Source organism: Homo sapiens, chromosome 12 (assembly GCF_000001405.40).
Source record: "Homo sapiens chromosome 12, GRCh38.p14 Primary Assembly".
Classification (NCBI taxonomy): Eukaryota; Metazoa; Chordata; class Mammalia; order Primates; family Hominidae; genus Homo; species Homo sapiens.
This window is the reverse complement of record NC_000012.12, coordinates 82,146,375-82,168,396: the sequence shown is the minus strand read 5'-3', so window position 1 is coordinate 82,168,396 and position 22,022 is coordinate 82,146,375. Positions and strand designations below refer to the sequence as shown.

At 36.2% G+C, this 22,022-nt stretch overlaps 1 long non-coding RNA gene across 2 annotated transcripts in view, besides 1 other annotated feature; it reads left to right on the top strand.

Moving 5' to 3' along the window:
• Nucleotides 1-22,022, top strand: part of LOC105369873 (uncharacterized) — a 173,421-nt gene that overhangs the window by 139,919 nt on the left and 11,480 nt on the right. The gene's annotated exons all lie outside the window — the stretch shown is intronic.
• Nucleotides 20,608-21,197: an enhancer, noted in NCBI's record as "H3K27ac hESC enhancer chr12:82540979-82541568 (GRCh37/hg19 assembly coordinates)". NCBI's record gives its function as "activates a minimal SCP1, AML or CMV promoter by ChIP-STARR-seq in naive H9 embryonic stem cells {active_cell/tissue: H9 hESC(naive)}" and the evidence as "EXISTENCE:reporter gene assay evidence [ECO:0000049][PMID:30033119]".

The following is a 22,022-nucleotide window of genomic DNA, read 5'->3' as shown; positions in this document are numbered from 1 at the left end:
GAAACATAGAAGAGCTATCCTGTGGGAATTCCAAGATCTATTTGGGAGGCATATTAATGCTGGTGGTGGTGGTGGTGGTGATAAGGCGAGAGTATTCAGAAGGGTATGTTTGGAAACACTGTGTTTCTTTGTGATTATTTTATTTCACTCCTAGGATGAGGTGATTTGGTTCATGAGGATTATAACTAAAATAAATAGTTGTCTCTATCCACAGTCAGTTTGGAGGAAATGAGTTGTATTTCCTTCTTACTGTCTTTCTCTATATCTCTGAAGTCCTTGCCTCTTTGGTATGAACTTGCTTATTTTGAATAACTTCATATTTCCACATTTTTATGCATCATTGTTATAGACCTTTGGAGTTATAAGGTCAATACTAAGATCTGAATGTTGACAATTATATACATTTAAGACCAAATTTGAAACATAATTTTTTAAATTTCAATGTTTATTTTATATTCAGAGGGTATAGTGCAAGTGTGTTACATGGGCATATTGTGTAATGCTGAGGTTTGGGGTAAGAATCCTGTCACCAAAGTGTGAGCACAGTACCCAGTAGGAAGTTTTTCAACCCATACCCTCTTCCTTCTCCTCTCTAGGAGTTCACAGTACCTATTATTCCCATGTTTATGTCCATGTGTATTCAATATTTTAGCTCCCACTTATAATGAGAACATGCAGTATTTGATTTTCTGTTTCTGTATTAAATTGCTTAGGATTATGTCCTCCAGCTACATCGATGTTGCTGCAAAGGATGTGATTTTTTTTCTTTTTTATGGCTGCATATTATCCCATGGTATATATGTAACACATTTTCTTTATGCAATCCATTGTTCACAGGCACCTAAGTTGATTCCACATCTTTGCTATTGGGAATAGCATAGCAATGAAGATGTGAGTGCATGTGTCTTTTTGGTACAATGATTTATTTTTCTTTGAATATATACCCAGTAAGGGGATTGTTGGGTCAAATCACAGCTCTGTTTTAAGTTCTTTAAGAAATCTCCAAACTGCTTTCTACAGTGGCTGGGCTACATGTCCACCAGCAGCGTATAAGCAGTCTTTCTCCACACTCTTGCCAGTCATTGTTATTTTTTGACTTTTTAGTAATAGCCATTCTGACTGATGTGAGATGGTATGTCATTTTGGTTTTGATTTGCATTTCTTTGAGAATTAGTGATGCTGAGCATTCTTTCATATGTTTGTTGGCTGCATGTATGTCATCTTTTGAGAAGTGTCTGCTTATGTCCTTCGCCCATTTTTCAATGTGGCTATTTGTTTTTTGTTTGTTGATTTGTTTAAGTTCCTTATAGATTCTGGATATTAGTCTTTTGTAGGGTGTATCCTTTGAATCAGGAAAAGATTGAAACACTGAATAGACCAATATTGAGTTCTGAAATTGAATCAGTAATAAAGAACCTATCAACCATAAAAAAGCCCTGGACCAGATGGATTCACAGCTGAATTCTACCAGTCATACAAAGAAGAACTGGTACCAATTCTACTGAAAATATTTCAAAAAAATCAAGGAGAAATGGCTCCTTCCTAACTCATTCTATGAAGCCAGCATCAACCTGATGCCAAAATCTGACAGACACACACACACACACACACACACACACACACACACACACACACACACACAGAGAAAACTTCAGGCCAATATCTCTTATGTACATAGATGCAAAAATCCTCAACAAAATAGTAGCAAACTGTATCCAGCAGCATATCAAAAAGTTAATTCACCACAATCAAGTAGGCTTTATTCCTGGATGCAAGGTTAGTTCAACATAGGCTAATCAATAAATGTAATTCATCACATAAATAGAATTAAAAACAAAACCCATATTATTATCTCAATAGACAGAAAAAGCTTTTGATAAAATTCAATATTTCTTCGTGTTAAAAACCTTCAACAAACCAGGCACTGAAGGAACATACCTCAAAATAATAAGAGCCATCTGTGACAAACCCACAGACAACATCACACTGAACAGGCAAAAGCTGGAAGCATTTTCCGTAAGAACTGGAAAAAGATACGAATGCCCACTCTCACAACTCTTTTTCCACATAGTAGTGGAAGTCCTAGCCAGAGCAATCAGGCAAGAGAAAGAAATAAAAGACATCCAAATAAGAAAATAAAAAATCAAACTATCTCTCTTCACTGATGATATGAAAACCCAAAGGACTCTGCCAAAGGCTCATAGAACTGATATATGACTTCAGTAAAGTTTCAGTATACAAAATCAATGTACAAAAATCAGTAGCATTTCTATATACCAGTAATATCCAGGCTGTGGTCATTTTGGTATTCAACAACATAATGGATTACACTAACTTTTGTAGACCTAATCACTAGAAAGGGGAAACTTATAGTTGGCATTGTACTTATACAATTTGACTAAGGCATTGTTAATATTTGAAGCCTTGTGGAATGGGATTTATTTACTTCATTTCCCTGATTATGCTTTGAAAATCAGCCCATCATTTGGGGTGCAGGAAAGTATAACTCGTGATATTTTGCCTAAGGGGTTCAGGATCTCAGTTTCTGGTCTGGTGGTTTCATGCTCTAATCCTGAACTTTGGGCTATTCTGCCTTCTTGCAAATTTAATCAACTTGTACATTCTTGCTGTCTGAGAACAGTTGCATGGTCAGCAAACATTTTCTTTTTCTTCTTTCATGAGATTGAATATAAAACTGTTTTATAAGAGAATTTTGATAATATAACACTGTCAGAAAAATCTAGGCGTCATCTTCAGTTTTCACTTTCCCATCTCCTTCCATCTCACCACTTACTACCATTCACTATTAATTAGTTGTCCATTACTACACATTCTAATTTTTTCCTGCTACCACAGTCTCTATTATAGTACAGGCCCTCATTATCTCTTATTTGCATTATTATAAAAACTTCCTAGGCTGTCTCCTTGCTTCTAATGTCTCCCTTTTTCAGTCTATAACAGACAGTCATCAAATTGTAGTCTTACAAAATACTCAATATTTAATGTTTATAATTTCATGCAAGATATAGTCTAAATATCTCATGGTGGCTTCTAAAACTCTTAATAATTTGGACCCAATTAAAATTTTTGATATTGTTTCTTACACTTTGTTTCCATTCATCTCCCCTTAAACACTAGCAACTTTTTATAGTGACTCTCATCTTCCCCAAATATGGTGAAAATAATCTGTTTTTTGAGCTACAAGATGTTGGATATATGTGTTAATAACCTGTGTGTCTTTTAAGAACCTGCTGAAATGATCTACCACATAAGATTTGCTCTCACCTGTAACTATTATTTATATTCTTTTATACCACAGGACACCTTGTTTTATATGCTGAAGGTTAGAGTGATGCAGCCTGATTGTCCTACCTGTCTCACTGAATACTGAATATCTAGAGCTAGGAACAATACCTTATGTATCTTGTGTACCCTCACCATGCCTAAAATGTTTCTCGATAAATACTTCTTAAGTTAAATTGATTGTGTTGATTTGAATTACCTTTTCATTTTAAATTTCCCAAAAAACATGGTAATATTTTAAGTTTCGTATTGCAATCTACAAAGACGTTTCTCATTGCCCTTGCTTGAATTTCCACAGAGAAAACTCTGCAAAGCAGGACGCAATTTTAAGGTCATAGATTGGCCATTTGACAGAATTAATACAGAATTTTTTAAATCTAAAAATATAAAATAGCATAGACTTAACTGGGCAACGAAACATGTATTGAGAATTTAATATGTATCATACATTAGGATAGGTGCCAGATATTCAATAATGAATAATCTAATTCCTTTGCTCAATAGCTCACAATATAGGGTGTGAGAGAGGTGAGTTTAGTTTAATAAAAACATGTTGAACACCTGGTATACCTGTGTTATAAAGGAAGAATCCACAAGGGGGTTTTGAGAGACAGAAGAGGATTGATTGCCAAACTCACTTTGCGGTGTTAATGATAGCTTCTTATATAGATGTGTAAACTCATAAGTGGTTTAAATACTATGTTATTTATGGAAAATTTATGTATAATATGCTGTACATAGAATCAGACAAGGTTTCAAGGAGACAAGGTGGAAGTCAAACTGTGCCCTAAAAATGAGTAGTATTCAGCAAAAGAAGGGAAATTTAAACCCAAGAAAAGGAAATAGAAAATACAAATTCATGGGAATATGGAAGTATGTGACCTGTTTTAGAGAAAAGTGCTTAGAAGTCTGTAATGGTATAGTGGGGAACATGGCAGAATATGAGGCTAGGAAAACAGAGTGGAGTGTAGTGAGATTGAGTATTGCCATGGTACCAAGCTAAATAATGTAGATAGTGATTTTGTGGGATAGGAATCTTCTAAATAATTTTTTCAACCTTAACTGTTAATAAAGGTATAATATACTCCAATAAATACCATATGTAATAAGTGCATGGCTTAATCAATTTTTGCAAACTCAAATTTAAACCAGCAACAAGATAAAAAGATAAAGCATTCCAGCACCTCAGAAATTTCCTGCTTCCAATCAGTAGTCCAAGAATAACTATTATCATGACTTCTAACAGCACTGATTAGTTTGACTTGGTTATATATTTTAAGTATAGGATCACGCAGTATCTTTTGTGTCTGGCTTTTGTTTTTTTAATATTTGAAAGACTAATCATTTATGTTGCTGCAGGTAGTTGAAGACTATTTTCATCTCTATAGAGTATTCTAATGTATAAATAAACAATTAATAATAATTCTCTTGGTAACAGATATTTGGATTGTGTACAGTTCAGGGCTGCTTTGAATAGTGTGGCTTTGAGCATCTAGTATATGTTTTTTGATAAACATATGTAGGCATTTCTGTTGGGTATGTAGTTATAAGTGGAATGATCGATGTTTGCAGACACTGCCACACAGTTTTTCAAAGTGGTTTCACTAATTTAAACTTAATGAGTGTTTTGTTGCTCCTCACCCTCAACAAAACACACTAAAATGTGTAAGGGAAAGGGAAAATATATGTACTAATCAATTATTAGCAGTTTTTATACATTATTGGGGTATTGGGATAGATATCATCATACCATTATTCTCCTGTTACTAACAAGGAAACACGAAAATTAAGAAAGTAGCCCACAGTCTCATGATGTAAATAATAATTAACATTGGAACTTATTATAAGCTAGAGTCTTTTGGTAGACTGAATAATTACCCCCCCCATGTTCATGCTCTAATACTTGGAACCTATGAATATTACATTTTATGAAAAAGATTTTGCAGTTGTCATTAAGTTAAAGATCTTGAGATGGGCAGATTGTCTTGGATTATTTAGGGAGGGAGGAATTCAATGCAATCGCAAATGTCCTTTAAGAAGCAGGTGGAGGGAAATTTCAGACAAAAGAGGAAAAGGCAATGTGACCATGCAGGGAGAGACTGAAGTGATGCAGGCACAAGCCAAGGAATGCAAGCAGCCGCTGAAAACTGAGAGAGGGAAGGAATATATTCTCCCCTAGAACCTTCAGTGAGAACATGGTACAACTGACACCTTGTTTTTGGCCCCGTGAAACTGATTTTGATTTCTGGTCTCCAGATCTGTGAGAAAATAAAATTCTGTTGTTTTCAGATACCAAGTTTGTGGTAATTTGTGACAACAGCCATAGGGAACTCATATAGTTGATGAGTAATGAGCCCAAAAGTTTTCATTCATTATGTCACCTAATACTGTGAGGTAGGTATGATTAGCCCTATTTTATAGAGAAGGAAAGAGGCCTTAAATAACTTGTGCAAGGACACAGAGCTAGCAAGAATCAGAGACAGGATTTGAAAACCAGAGACCATATGACTTCAAAGATAACACTGATGACCAATAAAGTAATTAGAAGAATCAGCCTCTAATCCAGGTTTCTGGCCCCCAAAGTCATAATTTCTCTATAACATGCCATGTAATGAATTTGTGCTTTAAAAAATGCTTCAGAAAATACAATAAATCATAGATTCGAATGAGAGAATCAGGTGACAGGGAGAACAGTCAGGAAACCAACTGAATTATTTAAGCCAAAAATATTGAAAACCTGGACCAAGTTTATATGAGAATCTGGATCAGTGATGGAATAGAATCATTTTTCAGCTATAGAATCATCACTGTTCAGGACTGAGGGTGCATTATTTTATGTCCATAAATCAATGACTGAATGAGTAAATAAGTGAATGAATGAATGCCTTCTCAGGACTATATTACTCACGAAATTGCTACAAACTATATGCAAATTTTCTCACCTGATTGTAGAACCGTATATGGAATCCTTGAATCTATAGAAATACAAGTGTGTTTTTAGTGTCAGTTCAGAACCTTGAATAAGGAAAAGAAAATAGGACGCAAAAGAGGTTGCTTATCCCATTCTATAAACCCTAGTGTTTTCAATATGTGTATACATTATAAAATTATCGCTACAATTAAACTAATTAACATATCCATCACTTCTACATAGTTACCATTGTGTGGGGGTGTGTGTGTGTGTGGAGAAGATTAAATTTAAGACCTATCTTCTTAGCAAATTTCAAGCATAAAACACAGTATTGTTAACTATCGTCACCACACTGTACATTAGATCTCCAGAATTTATTCATTTGCATGATAGAAACTTTGTACTTTTTATCAACATCACTCCATTTCTCCCTCCCGTCAGCCTCTAGCAACTATGCTCCATGTGTACATATATCAAAATATTAAGTTGTATACATTGTAGGTATATTATTTTTATATCAATGATATCTCAATAAAGCTGTTTTCTAAACTCTAGTGGTTTTTAGTCTCCTATACAGAAAATGTGCTGGAAATCACATTAGTGTAGAAAGTCCAAACTTCATAATATTAATGTAAGTGATTCTAAGAAAATGACATGGCTCTTGTGAGAAGTAATTACTTTTTAACCCGCATGACTCTAGAAATTTTAGTTGTAAAAGTAATACATACTTGTTTTCAAGACTGTGAAAAACAAAGTAAAAAGAGACAATATAAAATACTCACTAACCCACCACTCAGAAATATTTGCAGTTAACATTTTCAGTTTTTCCCTTTAGTCTGTTTGCTATGCATGTGTGTTAACATAATTGGGATCACGGAGTATCCAAATACTGTTTTTCTTTTTTTTCACCTATTCTTTCACTGTGAAGAATTTTCAATGTCATTAAATATTTGTCAAAAAAATTTAAATAATTATGTATTTGATGAACACTGATTAAACATCTATTATGTGACAGGTATTATACACTTGATGCTTAAGATCCATTGGAAAATCGCACCTGAGATCACTCCTCTCAAAAATATATTTATCTGGGGGAGGAGATGAGAATTTTTGTTTGTTTGTTTGAGACAAGGTCTCGATCTGTAACCCAGGCTGGAGTGCAGTGGCAGCAATCACAGCTCACTGCAGTCTCCACCTCCCCGACTCAAGTGATTCTCCCACCTCAGCCTCCTGAGTAGCTGGGACTACAGGTACATGCCACCACGCCCAGCTCATTTTTAAATTTTTTCAAAATTTTTTGAAGAGGCAGGGTCTCCCTGTGTTCGCTAGGCTGGTCTCAAACTATAGGGCTCAAGTGATCTGTACACTTCAGACTCCCAATTGCTGAGATTACAAGCATGAGCCACCATGCCTGAACCAGGAGATGGGAATTCAACAGGGAATTTATGGAGAAATCTTTATTCACAGGATTCCCTAAATGACATTCTTGAGAGTTAACTACAGGTCATTATAAAATTATAGTTGTCACCATTAATTCTCTAGCAATCTCGTAGCTACTTTCTTTTTACTTGCATGAAGTCTCTCACGGTTTTCCTGCATAGACACTTGAATCATAGCCTGCCTGAATTCTACAGACTGACATCTGGGAACCATTTTACAATTTTCTCCTTTAGCTCATTCTGGGAGATTTTCTTTGAGGTGCTGAGAGAGCCGTGTCTCAGGAATTACTCTGTTTGTTCTTCGAATAGTGCTCTCACTTCAGGAGAAAGGGATGGGGGAGATATCTCTGTTTCACCATTATTTATCATGTTTATGTTTTTAAAAGCCTTATTATACCAGGAATGTAGTTGATATCCAATAGTTGTGACTGATCAAATACAAAAAATGTTACTTCATCACTGTGGTGTGCACCAGTGATAAACATGATTGCAGTTTACTTTCTCTGTAATATCAATGAGTAATCTGTAACTTACTGTGGGTATGTATGCCATAGGCCAGGCTGCTGCAGTGCTGGTTCTCCTGTTTTTAATTTTTTTAAGATGTCTCTGATTTAGTTTTGTGTCACACGTACCTGTACCTATATGCATGGAATTGGCAGTGTTGTGAAATTTAATGTTTGTCTAAGGCCCCAATAATATATAGTTACAAATAACACAAAGTCAAATATTACCCCTATATAGAAAATTAAAATGTCTAACCAGATTGTACTTGTTCTTATTTAACTGAATGGAAAGAAAAAATACCTTTCCCATTCATCCTTTCACTATTAAAACCATTTTTCACCAATGGGATCTAATTTCCTAACATACTTTACCATTATCTCACAATAAATGGATCCCCCCCAAAGAAGAAAATATTTCTTAAGGCTTCTGGCTCTGGCTCTCCTGCTTCTTTTTAAATCTACAACAATCCAACAAGTACCTCCATAAGATTGTCTTGACATTTTGAAGACCAGGGAGAGGAACATTTGAAAACTCTGATCTTTATTGTATTCTTTTGTTGGGGCACACACTTTTTCACTCCAGGCTAAGATATCCCCTCTGGCCTCCTTTAGCATTATATGAGGTTCCTCTGTTTTAGCATTGTTCAGTGATGCATTAATTTCCTATTGCTGCTGTAACGAATCACCACACATTAGCAGCTTGACACAGAAATTTATTATTTCATAGTTGTGTAGGATGGAGGTCCTACACTAATCTCAATGGGCTAAAATCTAGGTGTCAGCAGGACTGTGTTCCATTCTGGAGGTGCTAGGAAAAAATCTGTTTCCTTGTTTTTTTCAGCTTCTAGAGGTCTGTATTAGTCCGTTTTCACACTGCTATACAGATGTTACCTGAGACTGGGTAATTTACAAACAAAAGAGGTTTAATTAACGTACAGTTCTGCATGGCTGGGGAGGCCTCAGGGAATTTACAGTCATAGTGAAGGCGATGGGGAAGCAAGTACCTTCTTCACAAGGCGGCAGGAAAAAAGAGCGAGAAGGGAAAAGCACCAGACACTTATCAAACAACCAGATCTCGTCAGAACTCACTCACTAACGAGAGAACAGTATGAGGGAAGTGGGCTCCCATGATCCAATCACTTCTCACCAGGTCCCTCCCTCCACACAGGGGGATTACAATTCAAATTACAATTGGAGAGGAGATTTGGGTGGGAACACAAGGCCTAACCATATCAAGGTCATTCTGATTCTTTGGATTCAGGCGCCTTTCCTCCATCTTTGCATCTCTGCATGCCTTTTTCGGTCACGTCTTCCTCTGACGGTTATCTGTGGCCTCCTTCCCCCGCCTTAAGGCCCTTGTGATTACACTGGACCCATATGGATAATCCTGGCTATTCTCTCTATTTTAAGGTCAGTTTATTAGCAAACTTAATACTATTTACAATCTTATTTCCTCTTGTGCATATAACCTCATATATTCACAACTTCCAGATATTAGTACATAGATGTCTGTGGCCAGCCTTTAGTTTGCCAACCATAGTTGGGTATTGTAATTAAATATTTACTTGTGTGTACCTTCTGTGAGTACATGAAATCTTTCGAAGCAGATAAGGGTTCTCACCCTCTTATCCCAGCCCCAAGCACGGTCCCTGGTACATAGTATTTGTCAGTGAATAGCTGTTGAGTAACATGAAGTGTTATAAGGAAGAAGAAAAAAGGTATAAATATGTAAAGAGAAGCATAAGACTTGTCAATGGAAGTGTTAAACATATGTAATCTTGTAGTAAGGGTGGCATTATTCTAGTTTCATTTTAACTTTTTTTTAAATTTTAGATTTATAAAATTGATGCGTGTAAATTAAATGTTACAAACTCTGGGAAGTATTCTATAATATATCATTTCAGAAAGAAAATCAATATAGGCTTAGCTTATTATAACTACTAAATAGGTAATCCAACAAAAGCAATTTCTTAACCTTTAAAGAAGAGAAAAAGTGACTATGGAAATAGATTTTACATTTAGAAGTTACTTGCTGTGGCCTTTAAGGTTCTTCTCCTTTTTCATTCTGCCAGGTTAAGCAATCTTACCCCATAGATCTCAGGGAACAGGCAAAGATTTCTGCATGTTTATATGGAGGTTTCAAAACTTATGAGCTAGGGAAATGAAAATGGTGACTCTAGCTCTCAGAATAATTAAATATTGAGTTTGTCAAATGTATGACTACCCTAGAACATTCAAAGAGGAAAGATTAAAAAAGAAAAATCTCTGGGAATATTTAAACAATACAAACCTGGCTACTCTCAAAATTACTTACCCAAAAAAGGAGAAATTTAAACTTTGCTGACCCTGCAATAGTAATCTTTATGAAGTCCACAAAATTTAACATGTTTTTCATTTTAAATGGAGGAGTCAGTTATATTTGGACACCCAAAATAACTTTCAGCAGGTACTGTCTTCTGGGTTAGACCCTGTTTGCACATGACAAGAAGGATGGAGAATGTGGCTCTAGAGAGAGGCTGCCTGTGATCTACTTTTTTTATTTGTTTTTGAAACAGGGTCTCACTCTATTGCCCAGGTTGGAGTGCAGGGTGTCACTGCCACCTCTGCATCCCTGGCTCGGGTGATCCGCCTGCCTCAGCCTCCCGAGTAGCTGGGACTACAGGTGCACACCACCGTGCCTGGCTCCTTTTCTTTGTATTTTTTATAGAAGCAGGGTTTCGCCATGTTGCCCAGGCTTGTCTCAAACTCCTGGGCTCAAGTGATCCACCAGCCTCGGCCTCCCAATGTGCTGGGACTACAGGCATGAGCCACCACAACTGGCCCTGTGATCTACTTTTAATACAGCTATTTTTGATTTGTGTGACCTTGGGTAAGCTTATTTTCATTCCTTTGTCTCAATTTTTTAATCTGCAAACGAAGGTAATAGCACCTTCCTGATAGGGTTATTCTGAGGATTAAATGTGCAAAGACATGAAAGCATAGAAGAGTGCTCCAATTAAGCCATACAATGTGTTATCTGGTTAGACTAGCTAGTAGTCAAGGAACAGCTATGAATGTGTCAGCTCTGTACCCTGCAGCAAACTATTGCCATAACTAAATGCTATAGTTTAGCCTGCTTGCTAACACTCCATAATGCAAAATATTGCACAGTAGAATCACTCAATCACTTACTTTCTTTATGTAAAGGAGTGTAACAGTATAGCCCTTTATTTGCCCTAAAACATTACTTTTTCTGACCTAATGGGTTTATATCTAATAGTTCTGTGCACGTACAGACTAAACTCACTAATGCCAAATATGAATCTAGGCCAGGTGCGGTGGCTCATGCCTGTAATCTCAGCACTTTGGGAGGCAAGGTGGGTGGATCACTTGAGGTCAGGAGTTCGAGACCAGCCTAGTCAACATGGTGAAACTCTGTGTCTAAAAAATACAAAAATTAGCTGGGCATGGTGGCGCACCTGTAATCCCAGCTACTTGGGAGGCTGAAGCAGGAGAATCGCTTGAACCCAGAAGGCGGAGGTTGCAGTCAGCCAAGATTGCACCACCGCACTCCAGCCTGGGTGACAGAGTAAGTGAGACTCCCTCTCAAAAAAAAAAAAAAAAATATATATATATATATATATATATATGTACACACTTATATGTATGAATCTAAATTAAAATTCAATATGCTTGCCTTATTAAAAACATTCCTTAAATTTAAAATGGATGCAAAATGACTTGTTATTTATATAACATGTGAAATGACACCTGGGTAGAAGCTCTCAATGCAACTTCTTCCCTCTTCTCAATAAAAGCCTATAAAGTCAGAAATGCAAAATTAAAATCTGTAATACTGAAAACAAAAACTAGCCAAATGACAATCTCCAGATAACCTGAGGTAGATGAAATTAGCTAGGGAAATATTATTAGTTTTCCTTCTTGGCACACCTAGGAAAAAGGAGAAAATGAATAATAGGTACTTTGAATAAACGTGTGTGTAAATATTTCATGTGCATATTTACTGCACAGTGTATAAATAATACAATAAAAGAGATGTATACAAGAGGTGGCTTTGTGAGAGCATTTCAAAAAGCCAATACAATTGATTTTGCTCAATTCCAAATAACATTTGAAAAATTCAGAATTGCATTTGTCATCTATAGTTTTTCATCTGTGATTTTTTAGTTGCACATTTTAAATACAGATGCTCCTCAATTTGACATTAATTTACATCCCAATAAACCTATTGTTACATTGAAAATATCGTAATTTGAAAGGCATTTGATACGCTTAACTTACCAAACTTCATAGCTTAGCCTAGCCTACCTTAAACGTGCTCAGAACACATACATTAGTTGGGAAAAATCATCTAACACAAAACCTATATTTTACAATAAAGTATTGAGTATTGTATATAAAGGGTGTTTTGTAGACATGATAGGATGCGAAAACACAAAACACAATATCCAAAAAACGGTGGCAACACAGAATGCTGTAGAGTATCAGTTATTCACCCCTTGATTGCATGGCTGACTAGGATCTTGGGCTCAGTTCTGCTGCCCATCCCAGAAAAATATCAAAATTTAAAATTCAGGGTATGATTTCTACTGAATGAGCATCATTTTCAAACATAATAAAGTAAAAAAAAATTCTTAATTTGGAGACTGTCTTTAGTTAGTGCCAACTATTCAGTGGTACTTAAATGTTTAACAACAAGCTCTCCAAAAATAAATAAATAGGCTTTGTAGGGCATGTTGATTTCTGTACTAGTGAGTCAAGTAAATATTGTTGCTTTGAGCCGGTAAGTTTTGGGATGGGCTTGATGTAGAGCTCCGGTAACCAGAACATTTTTTTATCTCCCTAGTAGTCTAAATGGTCAACACAGGCTGCTTTCTTATTCATATTTGTGACCCCAGAACTTTGCACAGTGCTTGTCACAGTGTAGGTATTTAATTAATGTTTCTTGATGTAATAGCAAGGAGAGACAACGTTCTCTTAATTTACAAAAGTAAATGAAGAGTTTTATAATCCTATCTAAGAATTCCAAGATACTTCAACTAAAAATGTGACACACCTCAGGAATCAATAGTAGGAATATATAGACTAAAAGCACATAGGAAGAAATCAATATAGAAAAGTATTTCAGAACCAGCTTTCTTAATCATTATGTCATTATTGTGATTTACCAAAATTATACACTTAGAATTACTAACATCCAAATGATATGGGGATATAAAATAAATCTGTTCTTGCTTTTTGTCTTTCATGGCTGAGAAAGAAATTGATATAGCATTCCTTTGAGGCTCAGAATTTTTTTGTTTCTTGATGTTTGAATGTAATTTTTGGATTCAATAAAACAAATTTTTAATTGGTAAATTAGGGTGAAAAGTACGTATCCATTTTCGATTTTTATAGACATTGCCAGATTTTCCTCCAGAGGATTTTTACACATATGCCCTCCTACCAGCAATGAAACAATAGATTGTATCACCAAGTTTGCAATGTTTGCCAGTCTGTTAAACAAAAAATGGTGTTTCTGAGAAGATGTAATTTTCATCTATCTTATTGGGAATAAAGTTGAATATATTTTCATACGCATTTTTTTCCTGAGCTGTATGTTCATATACTCTGTCAATTTTTTTATTGGTATTTTGAAATTAATTTTTTGTGCTGTTTAGCATTTTGTGATATTAGATGTAGTTTCTCCTCCACCAAGTTATCACTGTATTTCTGCTCTGATGACAGTGATTTTGCCATACAGAAGTATGTTCTTTTTAATGCAGTCAAGCTTACCAATTTTAAATGAACTCTAGATTATCAGTCATGGTTAGAAACACTTTACACAAACCGAATCATAAAATAATTGTTCCTTATTTTGATTTATTGTTCCATTTGGAATTTATTCTGGTATAGACCATGAGGTGCTATCTTCTACTGGTTCTATATCTACCCTTATCTCTTCTACTCTCTTCTCAAATCTAGGAAGCGAACTTGTGGGGGAATATCACTTGCCTTCTGGTTTCTAGTTGTATTTGGCCAATTGAGATGAGTGGCAGGAGTTCAGAGGGAGAGGAGGAGGACTGTCTTGTTGTGGGGTCCCTGTGGCCTGGCTGCGTTTTTCAACCTAAGGTCACAGCTGTTGTCTGATGTCCCTTTTCACACATCCCTCTCTGTCTCTTGGTGTTAGCACTCTCTCCCCTTCAGGCCTATGTATGGTAAGAGGATCCTTCTGCTACTGTCTCAGTATGATTTTTCCCACAATATCTCTAAACCTTTATAAATAGTCCCTTTATTAAATTCCTCATATTACTGAATCTGAGTGTGCTATCAGTCCTTCTGTAACCATGTCAGATAGTGGACCCAATAGTATTTTCTTTCCAGATGGTTACTTAATTGTCCCATTAGACTTTATAAAATAGTCCATCTTCCTTCACTAATTTGAAATACTAAATTTTGTCATATATGACGTTTTTGTGTGAATTTGCATCTACTTCTGGAATTTCTATTTTGTCCCATTGATATTTTTATCTCTGTGTGCCAGTACCAGACTATTACTACTATTTATATGTTGCAGTGTGTTTTAATATCTAGTAGAAGTGGAGCATCTTCATTGCTCTTTGTGTTCAGGCTAAGATTTTTTTGTATGCCTATATGAAATGTAGGATCAGACTGTTTGTACATCCACTACCATAAAAAGAAAGGAAGACTACACCAAGAAAGGAAGGAAGGAAAGAAAAATAAAGACAGACAGACAAGAAGAAAAAAAGAAAGAAAGAAATCAGAAAAAAGAAGCCTGTTAGTGTTTTTATTGGGATTGTGTTGAATTCTTTAAGCTTCTACTTAAATGTATATATTTTTGCTTATTAGTCTCACCTCTATGAATGTATCCTATAACTTCATTCTCATACATGCAAGCAAATATGGAATAACCAAAATTGTGCAAAATAAAAATGATAAAATTTATAGAATATTACTCATTTGTAAAATTTGAGGTACTTGTCTCCGTAATAATATGTAAATATTTTGAAACATTCACTATTAAGTAAAAGGCAGAGTTCAGAGCACTGTGAATAAAATACTATCAAGAATACATACATATTTGTACTTACTTATAGATGAATAAAGAATATCTGGAAGGATATATACAATACTAATAGATGTGTGACAGGAATGAAGAAAACTGAGTCAAGGAAAGACTGGGATGTGAAGAACATTTTTCTCTAAACTTTCCATTTGTATTTTTGACTTAAACCATATGTGTATATTAATTTAATTAAATTTAATTAATTTAATTTAAATAACTATTTTAAAAATGTGTATTTACTTGTTTCCTACTTATAAAACATGACCTCCTGCCAAATTTGTGCCTAATATTTAGAAGAAATAGTACAAGTAAAGTTTGTGAAACAAAAACATTGTCCAACTTTTTATAACATGCGTCTGTTAAGTTCCAAATGTGGGTTAAGGCATGGGCCTTAGGTATCTTCTCACTGATTTCTCTGTCAAAGTAACTCATCAAATCTCTTTCACCAGCCAGCTCTGATACGGGTGTCCTGATTTACTGAAACCCAACTCATTTTTCTGCCTTACAATGTGCTGGGCATTCATTTTATTTCTATTACCTCAGGGCCCCTGATGACAAGTTATTCCTGTTTTGGTTGCAGATGTATGAAATCCGTATAACTGCTTTTTGACCCCTGGCTTCTCTTCCTAGAACTGGTTCAGTTTTAACTCAATGGGAAGTTGTATATGTTGCTCAGACTTGCCATCTTTAACAAAGCCTTTGTACCCAGCATGCGCTCTTCAAGCACCTTCTGGAATCCACTGCACATCTTCTGCCACTTTCCTGAACTGTCATTTGGTGAAAACCTTTGGGTGTCAAATTCATCTCTTAGTTTATGGCAAAAATTTATGCCAACAAAGATTCAAGAAAACTGCACTTCAACTTTTTGAAATTATATTGGAACCAGGGGCAACTTGCAAAAATTTTGTAAAATTTCTAAAAAATAAAAATATATAAATGTTAAGTTAAAATTTAGGAGTAATTTAAGAAAATACAATTGCCGTGACCTACTGATGTGAATCCTCGCATCCTTGGGCTCCTGCTCCTTTCCTGGTCTTCGTTTATATAATCCATTTCATCCTATTTACCTTTTATTCCCTTCAGGAAACTTTTTTTTAATTTTAATTTTTTGTTTTATTGGCTTCTTAACTTTTAAAATTGTTTTTAAATTTTTATTTCAATAGCTTTTGGGGTACCAGTGGTTTTTGTTGCACAGATGAATTACATGGTACTCAATTACCTATCTACTTTTTTGTCGTTTCCCACCACCCTAGTCCAGGCTTTTCAAGCCAGAATTATAATATCATTTGGTCAGGACTTAAAGGCCTCAGTGTTCCATTTCTTCCTACTCATAGCTGAAAAATTAATCATTATGTTATACTATTTATTCATATTATTCTTGTATTCAAAAATCTTCTAGGGTTCTCCTGTTGTTTACAAGATAAAGTCTAAAGTCCTCAGTGATTTTATGATGCCTGTGCTATGGAATCTTTAAATCTCATTTCCCACCAGTCCTCCACTCCATTAGGTTTAGTTTTCTCCCTGGTATCCTATATATGTCTAACTTGTATTATGTCTTGTTTTCCTCTTCTTTCCATGTATTTGCATTTTCATTTTTAAATGAGACTCAAGTAGTTCATTGAAACTGCAACTTTTAACTCTATTTTATTAACATTTTTAGTAGACACTATTGATGCCTCCTCATATCTCCTTTGCATTTATCATTCCAGTAGATGCTTACTGCATTCCAGTTCAAGCACTTTTGACTCTACTGGAAGCCTATCAGTCCAGGTAGGCCAGGAAGGAAGTCCTGGGAAGTGGTGAATATTCCCAGCACCCTTAGCCAATGGTGGATGGAAGTTGAAGGATAAATACTCCATCTTTCTTATCTCTCTGAAAAAATAATTCAGTTATATTTTAGCATCTTTCTCAGTTCCCCAGTTGTTCACAGTGGTAACCTGCCATGGGAACCTATTAGATAACATACCCCTTATTGGCTTCCCTCTTTTCTTCACCTTATTTCTCTACCTCCTTACCAGTGCCTTTGTGATCATCTCCCAAAGAAATAATTGCACTTAAATCCTTGTCTGTCTTAGGGGAATCTAACTTATAGCCCATTTAAGCTTAGCGTTCCATTATTGGAACACTAAGCATGTGGGAGTTATTTATATCCTGCTGCTCAAGGTCATTGGCAAGGTCTGATTGCAAAAATTCAAAAAATTGCAACCTCAGGCATAAATGGGTTAAGACAACACTGCAGCATAGAAAGATCATCTTTTCTTCTAGACTGCTGCATCATTCACTCTTTGTATCAATCATTTAATATATAATTATTCTTTTCATGAACAATATTTATCAACTGTGTGTCTGGAACTGTTCTAGATACTAGGGATACTATGGTGAGCAAGACTGGGAAAAATACCTTCTTTATGTTTCTAGTGATGGGATCTGATAAAACAACATCATCATATATAAGCATATTGTATCATGTGCTGCCGGGTATTGAGATGGTTTGTTACACACTGATTAAAGCACTGTATGGCCGAGTAAATAGAAGTCTATCTGTAGTCTCCCTTATTGACAGCCAATGTCCTATATTATGTTTTCCTCAACTTGAGTAGCCCCTTTCAATCCATTTGGTTTGGTTAGTCTGCTGTGCTCCTTTTTATTTTTCTTTTTTGACAACTAAAATCTTATTTTTTTGTTTCTCAAGAGAGCTTTTAATTCAAGTCAGGTTGATAAGGCTGGTGCCCTAGGCCTAACTGGCTCTATTGTTTGAACAATTCTAAAACATACTGAAAAGATAAAACCATACACCAGTAGAATTCTAATCTCTTAATTGGAGGATAAACTGTCAGGAATAAATCTCAAAGGGGACTACGTAATAATGAACCCTTGTAGAGCTGATTGAATTAATGCTCTCATTTTCTGGAACACCTGAAGCCTTTTGCTGATAGTTGTATACCCTGTTGTTACTTATATTTTAGATGGCCATCTGTCCAACTAGAGTTTTAGTTTAAAGGATTACGTAGTATCTTTATACTTTACTTTCCCACCACAATATCTGACACAGTCTTTCTTAAATAGGTCTTATGTATGTACTCATTAAATATTTTAGAAAGAATGAGTAGGTGAATATATGAAAATATGAATTCTATAGTTGAATTACATTAGGAAATTTTAATTGATAGATAGTATTCAATCTAATTTATGTTTATAGAGAGACATAATGCCTAATATAGCTCTTTAAAATGTATATTGTTTATTTGCTTATTTCAATCTCACCTACATTCAAATGACTTAGATATGGAATACACAGTTTTTAATTATGTTAAATTCAATAAGAGAATAAAAAAGAATAGATAAGCCTTAGAGAAACATGAAGAGTTTATGCCAATAGATTTCTCATATGACCTCATTTCTACTGCTGGGCACACAATTTGGCTTAGTTTTCTGGCAGCTAAGGCAAAAAAGGAATCACACTGAGCTAAGTAATATTCATATTTGATATAAGAGACATACAAATTCCTCTGCAGGGGCAAATTATTTCTTGGATATAAATTTAGTGAGACATATATTATGTAGATCTACATTTAAGGGAGCAGCCTGTACAGTTCATAATGTCTTCATTTTTGTTTGTACCAAAGTGGGGAACCACTGTTCAAATAACAATATATATTTTTGCCTATTTAAAAGTTGAGTACAGAGTATTGAATTACAGGGCATAGCAAATAGTCAAGTCATTCCTGTGGGGCCTTGAATAATACGGCTGTTCATGTAACTCGTGTCTAAATTATTACAGAGATAGAATCTACCAAATCCAGATGAATAATACCATCTTATGAAACTGTGATTCTCATATATCCATATTTTAAGATAGTCTTTAACAAGTGCCCTTCACAACTTTAGTCATCACATGTGACAGGGAATAGCTGTCATTCTCCTACAATGCTAAAACCTGAATTTATATTCTTACTTGAACAAAGAGCCAACTCACTCATCATGGATGTGGGTAGCAGGCATGTCTACAGAGTCAATTTTCCTCTACAAAATAACTTGGTGTATTCTTACTGACTCTCAAGAGCTCTGAGTCATAACATGCAAGAAAGAATACGGGTTAGAAACATGTTAATTATATCATTGACTGATTTCATCATTCCAAGAACTTAAGGGTGGTCCCTACAGAACAATCTGATTTTCAAAAGAACTGTCTTTATACACAGATCTGCCGATTTTCTAGCTGGCAGATACTAATATTGTACATTTGGGTTGTTGACATTAATTTTCACCTTTGCTCACTTAATCCTATGCTGGTTAAAAATTTTTCTCCCTTATTTTCCATTTCATTTTTTTTGTCTAGAAATATCTGACCAATAAAATAAATCTAATCAATGTGACAATTCAATCATTCATTCATCATTTACTGAGCTTCCAGTTTGTAGTGCTGAGCATATAGCAGTGAACCAGACAGCCCAGTTGTGCTCATGTAGCTAAAACCAAGTGGGGAAAATACACACTGAACAGCAACCACACTTCCGTTTCCAGCAATATACCTCAGATGCCCAGAGAAATCATCTTCATATGCAACCTAAAATTTAGGAATAAAATATTTTAAAGAATGTAGACCTTTGGTGTGGTCTATTGGATAAAGAAAATGTGGTACATATATACCATTGAATATTATGCAACCATAAAAATGAATAAGACCATGTCTTTTGCAGGAACATGGATGGAGCTGGAGGCCATTATCCTTAGCAAACTAACACAGTAACAGAAAATCAAATACCACAGGTTCTAACTTATAAGTGGGAGCTACATGATAAAAACTTATGAAAACAAAGAAGGAAACAACAGACACTGGGGTCTACTACTTGAGGGTGGAAGGTGGGAGGAGGGAGAGGAGCAGAAAAGATAACTATTAGGCCCTGGGATTAATACATGAGCAATGAAAAAATCTGTACAACAAACCTCTGTGACACGTGTTTACCTGTGTGTATTAGTCTGTTTTCATGCTGCTGAATGATAAAGACATAGCTGAGACTGGGCAATATACAAAAGAAAGAGGTTTTTTGGACTTACAATTCCACGTGGCTGGGGAAGCCTCACAGTCATGGTGGAAGGTGAAAGGCACATCTCACATGGCATCCAACAAGAGAAGAGAGCTTGTGGAGAGAAACTCCTCTTTTTATATAACCATCGAATCTTGTGAGACTTACTCACTATCATGAGAACAGCACGGAAAAGACCTGCCCCCATGATTCAATCATCTCCCACCAGGTCCCTCCCACAACACGTGGGAATTATGGGAGCTGCAAGAGGAGATTTGAGTGGGGACAGAGAGTTAAGCCATATTATTCTGCCCTGGCAGCTCTCAAATTTCACATCTTCACATTTCAAAACCGATCACCCCTTTCCAACAGTCCCCCAAAGTCTCAACTCATTTCAGCATTAACTCAAAAGTCCACAGTCCAAAGTCTCATCCAAGGCAAGTTTCTTCCACTATGAGCCTGTAAAATCAAAAACAAGTTAGTTACTCCCTAGATATGATGGGGTACAGGCTGTTGGTAAATATAGCCATTCCAAATGGGAGACATTGGCCAAAATAAAAGGGTTACGGGTCCCGTACAAGTCCGAAATCCAGTGGAGCAGTCAAATCTTAAAGCTCCCAAATGATTTCCTTTGACTCAATGTCTCGCATCCAGGTCACACTGATGCAAGAGGTGGGTTCCCATGGTCTTGGGCAGCTCTGCCCCTGTGGCTTTGAAGGGTACAGCCTCTCTCCTGGATGCCTTCATGGGCTGGCGTTGAGTGCCTGTGGCTTTTCTGGGCACATAATGCAAGCTGCCAGTGTATCTACCATTCTGGGATCTGGAGGATGGTGGCCTTCTTCTTACAGCTTCACTAGGCAATGCCCCAGTAGGGACTCTGTGTGGGGGCTCCAACCCCACATTTCCCTTCCACATTGCCCTAGCAGAGGTTCTTTGTGAGAGCCCTGCCCCTGTGGCAAACTTCTTTCTGGACATAGGCATTTCCATACATCCTCTAAAATCTAGGTGGAGGTTCCCAAACCTTAATTCTTGACTTCTGTGCATCTGCAGGCTCAACACCACGTGTAAGCTGCCAAGGCTTAGAGCTTGCACCGCTGAAGCCATGGCCGGAGCTCTACATTGGCCCCTTTCAGCCAAGGCTGGAATAACTGGGGCACAGGAAACCAATTCCCTAGGCTACACACAGCACAGGGACCCTCTGCCCAGCCCATGAAATCACTTTTTCCTCCTAGGGCCTCTGGGTCTGTGATGGGAGGAGTTGCTGTGAAGACCTCTCACATGCCCTGGAGACATTTTCCCCATTGTCTTGTGGATTAGCATACTGCTCCTTCTTACTTATGCAAATTTCTGCAGCTGGCTTGAATTGAAAATGAAAAGAAAATGGGATTTTCTTTTCTATGGCATTGTCAGGCTGCAAATTTTCTGAACTTTTATGCTTCAATTTCCTTACAAAAATGAATGCCTGTAACAGCACCCAAGTCACCTCTTGAATGCTTTGCTGCTTAGAAATTTCTTCCACCAGATACTCCAAATCATCTCTCTCAAGTTCAAAGTTCTGCAAATCTCTCGGGCAAGGGCAAAATGTTGCCAGTCTCTTTGCAAAAACATAACAAGAGTCATCTTTGCTCCAGTTCCCAACAAGTTCCTCATCTCCATCTGAGACAACCTCAGCCTGGATTTCATTGTCCATATCATTATCAGCATTTTGGTCAAAGCCATTCAACAAATCTCTGGGAAATTCCAAACTTTCCCACATTATTCTGTCTTATTCTG